The following is a 12,847-nucleotide window of genomic DNA, read 5'->3' as shown; positions in this document are numbered from 1 at the left end:
TAGTATTTAAATTCACAGACTATACCTACAATTTAGTTGATATAGAGATATTAAATCTTTCTTAACTCTTATTATCTTTTATATCTTTTTCATAAGTCTTAGGATAACGTCTTCCCCACAGATAGCTCATTGCAAAGGAATATTTAATCCTTTGGATGGAAAGGGATACTCTCTGAATAGATTATTCGCTGAGCAATATGAAAACCACTGCTTTTACCCTTGGATAATTTCTCACCATCAGGTCTTTTGAGATAGAAGTACAACAAGAGTAAATCTTTAAAAGATTTAACAGAAATCTATAATTTAACATGATACACATTTGGAGATAGAATCAAGACTGCCAATGAAAAGAATGATAAGGACAAAATGGAATTAAATTGTTAAATATTTCAATGCAGTATTAATTTTGTGTGTGTTTTTTGTTGGTTTTGGGGGTCAGTTGTTTTTTAACCACCAATTTTGTAAAACTCTGATAGAAACTTGAGAGCTGGTTTAATTCAATCTCATAATTTTTTAGGTAAGGAAACTAGTATTTAGGGGAGTCTGAAACTTGCTGAATATCACAGGTTAACACACAGAACACCTGGTTGCCAGCCAGTTCTGTTTGAGGATGTAATAAATTGTTTGTTTATAGTGGTAAAATGTGTCAAATGACAAAAAAAGCAATTCATTTTACATATTCACATTTTAAACCACTGTATACCATACTTAATTCTTTGAAATTCTGTTTCAGAAAATTTAGGTAAATAAAAATTTTATGAATAGAATCTTTTTCCTATGAACATATTATTTTCAAAGAATAATTTTGTCTGCTGTCTGATAAGGTATTTCGGCCACATCCCCTATTTCTGAATGTCCTTTAACAGAAGATTTTTCATTTGTTGCCTGGTTTTTGTTTCTGTTTTGCTATTTAATATCTTGAAGTTTTATATGTTCAAATGTTCAGTTGCCTGGAAGTTGTCTAAACAAATAATTATATGTAAACCTTTCTCAGAATTTTTAGAAAATATTGAACTTGTATAATAAAACTCTACTCTTAGTGGTTCTGATAAACCAAAAGAAGTAGCATAGTGACTACCTCCTGATATTCTTCCTAATTATCATATTTCTCTGAGGTTACATTATAAAGGAAAAGTAAGGACTCACTGAATCTGCTGTGTTTTGAACTCCCACAGATAACTTTTGCTACTGTTAGTACAAATAAAATCATTCTTTAAAAAAAGTCCTTTCAGGAAAAATATCTAAGTCTATTTTTATTTGTAATTTCTGCATCTTTAATCTGTGGCTATACTTTTTTTTTTATTACCTTGCTTTTCTTGACGGTATATGGCAACACTAAAGTATCAGTGCACCTGAAACACAGGGAACTAATCATGTTTACATATCTCAGGCAACGTGTCTTGGTCTCCCTGTTAGCACCTGTTCAGGTTTACACCTACCAGCTGTCAGTGTTCATGAACTCTATGATTACACAAAACAGGAATACTTGAGATACATAAACTTGAACAATATTATCATTAACAACTGATCATTGAATCCTTTTATAGTACATAAAATCATCATGCAGGGAAGAAGTTGTGGTCTGTCATTTTCATAAATTTGGATTTTTATTTGCGCTCAGAATTGTTATAGATAAATGTCATTTTAGTAAAATACAGCAAATGTATGTTACCCAGTATGAGTGAGCATTGTGATGTGTGTTAATTACATGTGATACATTATCAGTGTTTAAACATTTGGATAAAATGTGAAATATTAGACTCTTAGAAGGATGCTGACACAAAAGATGTTGAGTATAATTTTATCACTTATTACAGTAGCTTTGGGTCATCAAAATCAGCTTGACTCACCTTACTATTATAGTTATATAGAATTACTATTAAAGTTTTAGCTAGTTGAATTTCAAATAATACCCTTTTTGATATTTTAGATCAGAGTTTTTCATCCATAGCAACACTAACAACTTAGTTTGGATAATTCTGTAGGGGAAGACTGTTCTTCTTGTCCATTTTAGGGTATTTAACAGCATCCCTGGCCTCTATCTCCACTCAATGCCATTAGCACTTTTCCAGTTGTGACAACCGAAAATGTCACCCATATGTTCCCTGGTGGGGGAGATGGTGTGTCAGAAAACCAAAATCACTGCTTTAGGCTACAGGAAACATCTATAATGTATCAAATCATTTGTAGTCCCTTCATCTTTTGCACATATTTCTCCCATGGTTCACAACATTTTTTTTTTTTTACTATAGTGTTTTGCGTTAATTTGTGGTTATAGTCGTCTTTTAACTAGTTAACCTTCTTTTTTCTTTTCTTCTCATTTTTTTGTTTTGTTTTGTTTTGGTTTTGTTTTTGTTTGAGACGGAGTCTCACTCTGTTGCCCAGAATGGAGTACAGTGGTGCAACCTTGGCTCACTGCAATATCCACCTCTTGAGTTCCAGCAATTCTCCTGCCTCAGCCTCCCGAGTAGCTGGGATTACAGGCACCCACTACCGCGTGGGTCTTGCTAATTTTTGTATTTTTAGTAGAGACAGGGTTTCACCATGTTGGCCAGGCTGGTCTCGAACTCCTGAACTCAAGTGATCTGCCCACCTCGGCCTCCCAAAGCTCTGGAATTACAGGCGTGAGCCACCGCGCCAAGCCTAGTTAAATTTTGAAATAAGGCATCCCAGCACTTTGGGAGGCGAAGACAGGCAGATAGTTTGAACTCAAGAATTCAAGACCAGCCTGGGCAACATGGCAAAAACCTGTCTCTAACAAAAAATAGAAAAACTTAGCCAAGCATGGTGACAGGTACCTGTAGTCTCAGTTATTTGGGAGGCTGAGGTGGGAGGATCACTGGAGCCCAGGAGGTTGAGGCTGCAGTGAGCCATGATCACAACACTGCACTCCAGCCTGGGTGACAGAGAGAGACCTTGTTCTCAAAAAAAAATGACCAAGTTATACATTAGAAACTATAATCTCTTGAATGGCCTTAAGTTAAAAGATGTACCTACTAGATATTCTTCCATTGTTGAATTATAGACGGGAGGTCATGTTATTATACTCCATTTGTTGTGATCCTGTGATATCTAGGCTGGTTTTGAACACAAAGAATGGGTTAGTTCGTGATCATTTGGAACCCAAGATGAAAGGAGTATTCTTAACACAAAGGGTCAGAACGAGAGGCCATTATAGGAGCGTAGGTGTCAGATGTGGATGCTCTGGCCCTAACAGAAATCTAGGAATAGATGGTTCTTGGATACCTGAACTGTTTTTATTTTAATGAATATATTTTTCTAAAAAGATATGAATAAATGAGTTTCTGCAGATTTTTATGTACTATGCTTGAATTATAAATAGTAACTCATGATAACATATTTTGTCAACAAAATGAATGTATTAATTTTTCATCTGTATTTGTATTATAGATGAAAAATCAGCTTATTTGGAAAATTTTAAGATAACGTACCTTACCACATTGATATCGGTACAATTATGAGACATTTATTTTAAATTCTTAGCACGTAATCTATCTGGCTAAAAATATAATTCCATGGTAAGGATATACATAATCTATAAATAGTATAACTCTTAAATATTCACTTTAACATGAATAATTTAGAATACCTTGAGGTTTCTTTTCTTGCCACATATACACATGGGTAATTATATACATAGATGCTCACTCATTAAAAACAATAGCTAACAAGTATTAAATGCTAGGTACTCTACCCTTTACATGCATTATCTCATTTAATCCTCCCAACTACATCTTCTTGAAATCACTCATGAGGAAATTGAGAACTGAGAGAAATTACATAATTTTTACAAAATCACAACTAATAAACTTCAGGCACAGTGTTTGAACCCAGATAATGTTTATTAGCAAATATCTCAGTGACACAATGTAGTCTGTTCTTCATTCCTTCAAGGTTTAGTTTTTTATACTCTTTAACTTCAATGCATATGTATTTTTTTTTTAGTGCTTACTATATGGAAGACTTTGTGGGTTTTTTTTTTGTTTGTTTTTTTACTTTTTATTTTGAAATAATTTTAGACCTAAAAATAAAAAACAGAGTTCACATATATTTTTCATCCAGCTTCCCCTAATGTTAATAAGTTGTATAACCAGAGTGCAATTATCAAAATTATAAACATCAGGAAATTAACATTGATAGAATACTATTAACTAAACTACAGACCTTATGTGATTTTCACTAGTTTTGCCATTAATATCCTTTTCTTGTTCTAAAATCCAACTTAGGATCCCACATCACATTTAGTTGTGGGATCCTAGGTCTCACACTAAGGAATTCCTAGTCTCCTTAGTCTCCAACCTATGGCAATTCCACAGTCTTTTTTTTTTTCTTTCTTTCATGACTGTGACACTTTTGATGAATACCAGTCAGTTATTTTGTATATGGTTTTTCAATTTGGGTCTGTGTGGTGTCTCATGGTTCAGCTGAGTTTGTGTAGTTTTGGGAAGAATACCACAGAAGTGATGGACTCTTCTGGGGCATCAGAAAATACATGATGTTGATATTTTGTTATAGGTAATGTTGTTTCTCCACTGTGAAACTATTCTTTTCATCTTTTCATTTAATTGATATTTTGGAGGAGATACTTTGAGACTATGCAAATATCCTGTTTCTCCTCAAATTTTGACCCACTGCTTTTAGTAACCTTTGGTGCATATTATTTTATTTTGTTTTTATTATTTATATATATATTTTTTATTATACTTTAAGTTCTAGGGTAGATGTGCACAACATGCAGGTTTGTTACATATCTATACCTGTTCTTTGACTAGTTCTTACGATATGGTAAGCCAATGATTGTTTTGTGGATTTTTCACAGTTATACAATTTCACAATTACAAAGGCATTGCCTTCTCACCTTTTAACTATCAAGTTGATGGCCAGGATTTCTTGTGCTTTAGAGGGGATGATAGTAAATAAAACTGAAAGAATAATATTTAACTTAAAAAGAAGACTTAAAACTAAACCTTGTAAATTCAGGCATAAGACAATCTTCATTCTAGAGTGCAAAGGCTAGAGTGGATTTGTTAAATTTCTATAAAATGACAAAAAAAGGGTATGTGTAAGATGAACTTGCAGTAGTTGACCCAATTTTTGGTTATTAGAACTAAGAAATGCCTATTAAAAACAACAACTACTTAAGACCAGTATGAGAGAATTAGTACTTTACATGCAAGAAGACTACTCAGCCAGCTAATAAATCTTAGGCTAAAAATACCTAGTATAAATATAGTTGAAATAAAATAATACATGAATAATGTCTATAATAGAGCTTCTAAGGAAAATGGTTACATAAGCATATGTTTTTAAGAAGTTAAGCCCCTTCTTACTTAAATGAGCAAAAAGAACCAGATATAGAAGAAAAAAAATTACACCTTTACTGAAACTAAAAAAGGCCCCAGCCTATACTACTAGCTCTAGTTCTACTCTCATTGCCAGTTTTAAATTTTATTTTTAAGCAGTACTGTAGCAAACAACGTTGTATATATCACTTTACCTAATGATACTTTATCTGTGAGTGTGTGTGTGTGTGTGCACGCGCACACATATTTGTGCATGTGCGTTTATTTAAATAATTATTCAGATTAATTCTTCAGGGAAAGTAATATCCATTAAGCAGTATGTATACAAGACTACTTCTTTTGCCTTCTTGATTTTCCTTACTTTAGTCCTGAATCAGGTTTTATCAACAATAAGAAATACCTATACTTCATAGCATATTATCCTATAAAAAGTTAATGACTATTTTATATTGATCTCTTATATGCCAAGTACTCAGCTAAAGTGCTTATCTTATTATGTCACCAAATTACTTCTGCTGTGGAGTACAAAGGCAAATTTTTTTAAACCCCTTCCATTATTTTTTTTACATAGTATATTTACGTAGCAGATAGAATTCTTGAAGACAATGAGGTTACCAGCTATAAAGAAAAAATAGCTTTTTCCTAAACTCACTTCTAGGTAAAGAGTCCATATTTTTTGTATTTAGTGAAAATTAGACTTGGTAAAAATAATTTTTATGGGCCTTACCATCAGACAGCCACATGTCTCAGAGTTCATTAGTTACTGTTGCTGACCCAAAACCTACTCTTTAAACATTAGTTGCATGCAGCCATCAGTAGCAACTATGCCTTTCCCATGATGAATGCTGATAAAGAGAAATACAAATTCTGTAAGAATATGGACAGACTCATCATAGCAGTACTGTCATTTATGGAAGTGATTTACAGCAATACTAGAATATGAAGAGAAGTTTTTGAATTCTATATGATTAGAAGGCTCATTGAAATGGTCTTTCTAATGATGTTGCATGTCAATTTAAGATTACCTTCCCCATATATATCTTATCTTATGAGAAAAATTATCTACATACTTTATGGATTCAATCAACAATTAGGCAAACACTAGCCTTGCATTATTTTAATTAGTCAATTTTTTAAATGAAATCCAACTATTTTTCTTAGTAAAGATACAGTTCTTCTGTGAGTTGCCTGTAGAATTCAATACAGAAATCTTTCTATAGTTAGATTATTTAAATGGTAAGAGTTTTCATGTGGCTGATCATAAATTCATTTATAGGCAAGCAGTATCTTTTTTCTTATTGTAGATCGTGTTCTCTTTAAAGCATCTGTGAATTTAATGACTTTCTTGCTTGATTGTGGGATCAGTGCATGCATAGAGTATTAAAATGAATATAAAATGCCCATTATATTCCAAATTTTTAATATCAGCATTAGTTATTGCAATAAAACCAATGCAAGGCTACAACCATAAAGCCCAACAAATTAATAAAGATGATTAGAAGTGCTTTTGTCATTTTAAATGGGTCACAACTAAGGCCATTTTGAAATCATAGTTTAAACTTGCCTCAAGTTAAACTCTGAAATGTATTTGCCTGTTTTGAGGGGTATGGGGGGGATTCCCAGGCCAGATTCTTGGACACTTAAGAGCTACAAGTATATTGCTATCTGTATTTAGAAGATAAGGGGGCAGACCATTCAAATGTGGTGGTGTTTTTTTTTAATTATTCATTAAGGTAACATAGGAATTCTGTTGCAAGTGAACTGATGTGAGGTAATTTGGGATGAATAAGACGAATATAACATGTTAATTTATGGTTGTGGCAATACACATTTTGTGTGAAATTACTATATTCAAACCACTATTAATTTGGGGGGTATAAGAAAACTCAAGAGGATTTGGTATACTTAAACTTATTCCATAAGTTGGTATTTTAAATTATATTGTTTTTATCTACTCCATATTTTCTCTTTCCAAAGAACATGTATTTAGAAATTTATTTTATATTTTTAAAAGTATACAAAAAGTTTATGTTGAATTCTTTTGAAAAAATTTTTTATCTGATACTGAGAATTAACATTTTCCCTTCTCATAGATATGGAGTCTGGAGAACGGTTACCATCCTCAGCAGCCTCCTCTACTACACCAACTTCATCTTCGACACCTTCTGTGGCTTCAGTAGTTTCAAAAGGTGGCCTTTCCACTGGAGTTGCTTCACTTAGCTCTACAATCAACCCATGTGGTGAATACCCTTTTTTAACTCAATTTTAGAATGCCATTCTTTTAATAATTTGCATAATATTTTATTGAGCACTGAATAAAATATTCTCATGACTTGCATTGACCTGTTGAATAAAGGCTAGGTTAAACACCTAGTCTTTTTGCTTTTTCAGGATTTTACGCTGGGATAGCACTGGTTATTCTATACTTCCTAGGAATTGTCTTTGAGAGTTAAATCTTGATATCTTAATTTGTTTTATCATTTTAATTAATAAATTAATGAAGTCTTTTAAAACAATAGGCCCAAGAGGGAAAGAAATAGAAGGAAGTCCTTGGTAGACACTTTGCCCTAGATTTCCTTCCAGTATTTGAAATGACCTTGTAAGCTCCAGCTACTCCAGTTCACAGATGTATACTAAGGCAGATCATTTACTTGATGGAAAATATTTTTAAAGTTTAGAGCATAACAAGTTTCTTAAACATGAATAAAATTTGGCTGAGCACGGTGGCTCACCCTGTAATCCCAGCACTTTGGGAAGCTGCGGTCAGGAGTTCGAGACCAGCCTGACTAACATGGGGAAACCTCATCTCTACTAAAAATACAAAATTAGCCAGGCATGGTGGCGCATGCCTGTAATCCTGGCTACTCAGGAAGCTAAGGCAGGAGAATCGCTTGAACCCGGGAGATGGAGATTGCAGTGAACCAAGATTGCGCCATTGCATTCCAGCCTGGGCAACAAGAGCGAAACTAAGGAGAGCTTTATTTCAAACGTGAAAATATCCTCAATTTTCTTTAATTAGGTAGAAGATATCTTTAAGCACCTCCCAAAATCACTCTTGGTTCTTTTACAAAGGTGTGGTAGAATACATTCCTTTTATTAAATACCTAAAGTTAATTAACTCATTTATTTATCGGTAGGAAACATTTTAATTTTAACTATTTCTTATCTTATACATTATTTCATGTTTATAAGCAGTAAACTAAATGATATTTTTCTTATTCAGAATTAAAATGGAAACTTTTGCATAAATGTGATGCATAAATATATAATATTTGCTTACAAAATACCTTAGCAAATTGTCAAATAAATGTTTTCATTTATTTTTGTTTTTCCAATCAATGGAATGACAAAAAGGATGTCATTCTGTCATTATATTATGATCAAACCATTTTCTAATATATTCTTAGGGATTACAAAATAACTAAAATAGCACTATATGTGTGTGTATGTGTGTATATATGTATGTATATATACACATATATATATATTTTTTAATTTTTTTATTTTTTTGAGACAGAGTCTTGCACTGTCACCCAGTCAGGAGTGCAGTGGCACAATCTTGGCTCACTGCAAGCTCCACCACCTGGGTTCACGCCATTCTTGTGCCTCAGCCTCCCGAGTAGCTGGGACCGCAGGTGCCCACCACCACACCTAGCCAATTTTTTGTATTTTTAGTAGAGACGGGGTTTCACCGTGTTAGCCAGGATGGTCTTGATGTCCTGACCTCATGATCCGCCCTCCTCGGCCTCCTAAAGTGCTGGGATTACAGGCGTGAGCCACCGCGCCCAGCCGCACTATATATTTTTTAAAAATCAATATAACTTCTCCACCTTGTGTACAGTCTTCATCAAGTAATTAACAAGTTTGTTCACATTTCCCTTATACGCAAAATGATGGCTGGACTGTAAGTGTCCAAGCCTCTGATGATATACTGTGCTCAAAAATAGCGATGCTATGATTGACTTTTTACCTTAGATAAATTTGTGTAAATGATTGCACACAATTGTACTTGTGTAGTTATATTTTCCTGTTTTTGTAATTCTTCTTTCTCTTACCCTTGTTGTGAGCTTTCAGTGTATTCTAATCTGCTGTCTTATTTATTTCTGAATTAGTCTTTAACATACATAGTATTCCTAAAGAAATGTCTTTTCTTATTTGAAGGCTTCAATAGCATCCTTGAGTACAGATTCTGAGTTTTCTGAACACTTTTTTCTCACTTGGTTTTCTGAATTAGTGACATTGGAATTTGCTTGCAGTTCTCATGAGTCATATGTTGGGCACTATTTTTTGTTTGTTAGTGGATGGTTGGAAGCTGCAGAAGGGATGGAGTATGCCGAGTTGCTGAATAACATTAGAAACCTTGTCTAGAAAGGGATGCGTTTTTTTAATCATTATTTGCTACTAGTAAAAAAGAGTATAGAGTATTTATATTGAGATGCTTACATTGAATGAAAGTATAATTCCATTTATCCAGAAATGTGTCATTTATTAACACATATTTTTAGTACCTAAAACATGAGTTTTTTTCATTTTGTAGGTAAAATAATTTTTTTTTAACTTTCACAGTGTTGTAGTCCATGTTTAAAATAAAGCCTTTTACAGCAGCCCCAGTCAGGGGCTTACAGATAAAACTCCCATACCCCTGGGACAGAGCACCTGGGGGAATGTGCGGCTGTGGGCATAGCTTCAAAAGACTTAAACATTCCTGCCTACCAGCTCTGAAGAGAGTGGCAGATCTCCCAGCACAGCACTCGAGCTTTGCTAAGGGACAGATTACCTCCTCAAGTGGGTCCCTGACCCCCGTGTATCCTGACTGGGAGGCACCTCCTAGCGGCAGTGACAGACACCTCAAGCAGGAGAGCTCTGGCTGGCATCTGGCAGGTGCCTCTCTGGGACAAAGCTTCCAGAGGAAGGAACAGGCAGCAATCTTTGCTGTTCTGCACCCTCCACTGGTGATACCTAGGAAAACAGGGTCTTGAGTGGACCTCCAGCAGACCTGTAGCAGAGAGGCCTGTTAGAAGGAAAACTAACAAACAGAAAGGAATAGCATCAATATCAACAAAAAGGATGTCTACACAGAAACGCCATCCAAAGGTCAACAACATCAAAGACCAAAGGTAGATAAATCCACAAAGATGAGGAAAAACCAGCGCAAAAGGGCTGAAAATTCCAAAAACCGGAACACCTCTTCTCCTACAAAGGATCACATCTCCTATCCAGCAAGATAACAAAACTGGATGAAGAATGAGTTTGACGAATTGACAGAAGTAGGCTTCAGAGGGTGGGTAATAACAAACTCCTCCGAGCTAAAGGAGCATGTTCTAAACCAATGCGATGAAGCTAAGAACCTTGAAAAAAGGTTAGAGGAATTGCTAACTAGAATAACCAGATTAGAGAAGAACATAAATGACCTGATGGAGCTGAAAAACACAGCATGAGAACTTTGTGAAACATACACAAGTATCAACAGCCGAATCAATGAAGCAGACGAAAGGATATCAGAGATTGAACCAACATAATGAAATAAAGCATGAAGACAAGATTAGAGAAAAAACAATGAAAGGACAGAACAAAGCCTCCAAGAAATATAGGACTATGTGAAAAGACCAAACCTATGTTTGATTGGTGCACCTGAAAGTGACAAAGAGAACGGAACCAAGTTGGAAAACACTCTTCAGGATATTACCCGGGAGAATTTCCCCAAGCTAGCAAGACAGGCCAACATTCAAATTCAGGAAATACAGAGAACACAAAGATACTCTTCAAGAAAAGCAACCCCAAGACACAGAATCGTCAGATTCACCAAGGTTGAAATGAAAGAAAAAATGTTAAGGGCAGCCAGAGAGAAAGGTCGGGTTACCCACAAAGGGAACCCCATCAGACTAACAGTAGATCTCTCTGCAGAAACCCTACAAGCCAGAAGAGAGTGGGGGCCAATATTCAACATTCTTAAAGAAAAGAATTTTCAATCCAGAATTTCATACCCCGCCAAACTGAGCTTCAACAGCGAAGGAGAAATAAATCTTTTACAGACAAGCAAATGCTAAGAGATTTTGTTACCACCAGTCCTGCCTTACAAGAGCTCCTGAAGGAAGCACTATACATGGAAAAGAATAACCAGTACCAGCCACTGCAAAAACACACCAAATTGTAAAGACCATCAATACTATGAAGAAACTGCACCAACTAACAGACAAAATAACCAACTAGCGTCATAATGACAGGATGAAATTCACACATAACAATATTAACCTTAAATGTAAATGGGCTAAATGCCCCAATTAAAGGACACAGACTGGCAAATTGGATAGAGAGTCAAGACCCATGGATGTGCTGTATTCAGGAGCCCCATCTCATGGGCAAAGACACACATAGGCTCAAAATAAAAGGATGGAGGAATATTTACCAAGAAAATGGAAAGCAAAAAAAGCAGGGGTTGCAGTCCTGCTCTCTGATAAAACAGACTTTAAACCAACAAAGATCAAAGGAGACAAAAAAGGGCATTACATAATGGTAAAGGGATCAATGCAAAAAGAAGAGCTAACTATCCTAAATATATATGCATCCAATACAGGCGCACCCACATTTATAAAGAAAGTTCTTAGAGACCTGCAAAGAGAATTAGACTCCCACACAGTAACAGTGGATGACTTAAACACCCCACTTCCAATATTAGATCACCAAAACAGAAAATTAACAAGGATATTCGGGACTTGAACTCAGCTGTGGACCAAGCAGACCTAATACACATCTATAGAACTCTCCACCCCAAATCAACAGAATATAGAGTCTTCTTAGCACCACGTCTCACTTATTCTAAAGCTGACCACATAATTGGAAGTAAAACACTCCTCAGCAAGTGCAAAAGAACAGAAATCATAACAAACAGTCTCTCAGACCACAGTGCAATCAAATTAGAACTCAGGATTAAGAAACTCACCCAAAACCACACAACTGCATGGAAACTGAATAACCTGGTCCTGAATGACTACCAGGTAAATAATGAAATGAAGGCAGAAATAAAGATGTTCCTTGAAACCAATGAGAACAAAGACACAATGTACCAGAATCTCTGGGACACAGCTAAAGCAGTGTTTAGAGGGAAATTTATAGCACTAAATGCCCACAAAAGAAAGCGGGAAAGATCTAAAATCAACACCCTAACATCGCAATTAAAAGAACTAGAGAAGCAAGAGCAAACAAATTCAAAAGCTCTCAGAAGACAAGAAATAACTAAAATCAGAATAAAACTGAAGGAGATAGAGAAACAAAAAACCCCTCAAAAAATCAATGAATCCAGGAGCTGGTTTTTTGAAAAGATCAACAAAATAGACTGCTAGCCAGACTAATAAAAAATAGAGAGAAGAATCAAATAGATGCAATAAAAATGATAAAGTGGATATCACCACTGATCCCACAGAAATACAAACTACCATCAGAGAGTACTATAAACACCTCTATGCAAATAAACTAGAAATCTAAAAGAAATGGATAAATTCCTGGACACATACACCCTCCCAAGA

The 12,847-nt window shown here is 34.9% G+C and overlaps 1 protein-coding gene across 48 annotated transcripts in view; it reads left to right on the top strand.

Moving 5' to 3' along the window:
• BAZ2B (bromodomain adjacent to zinc finger domain 2B) overlaps positions 1-12,847 on the top strand; it is a 397,131-nt gene that overhangs the window by 226,304 nt on the left and 157,980 nt on the right. For all 48 annotated transcript variants that reach the window (XM_047444047.1, XM_047444046.1, XM_047444040.1 and 45 more), the window contains one exon: positions 7,418-7,564. In XM_047444047.1, the coding sequence (XP_047300003.1) occupies positions 7,420-7,564 (145 nt within the window). In that variant the 5' untranslated portion in view covers positions 7,418-7,419. Of the gene's footprint in view, positions 1-7,417; positions 7,565-12,847 lie in introns of those variants that run through there.

Source organism: Homo sapiens, chromosome 2 (assembly GCF_000001405.40).
Source record: "Homo sapiens chromosome 2, GRCh38.p14 Primary Assembly".
Taxonomy (NCBI): domain Eukaryota; kingdom Metazoa; phylum Chordata; class Mammalia; order Primates; family Hominidae; genus Homo; species Homo sapiens.
Note: the sequence above shows the minus strand (reverse complement) of the source record. Positions and strands in the feature narration are given on the sequence as shown.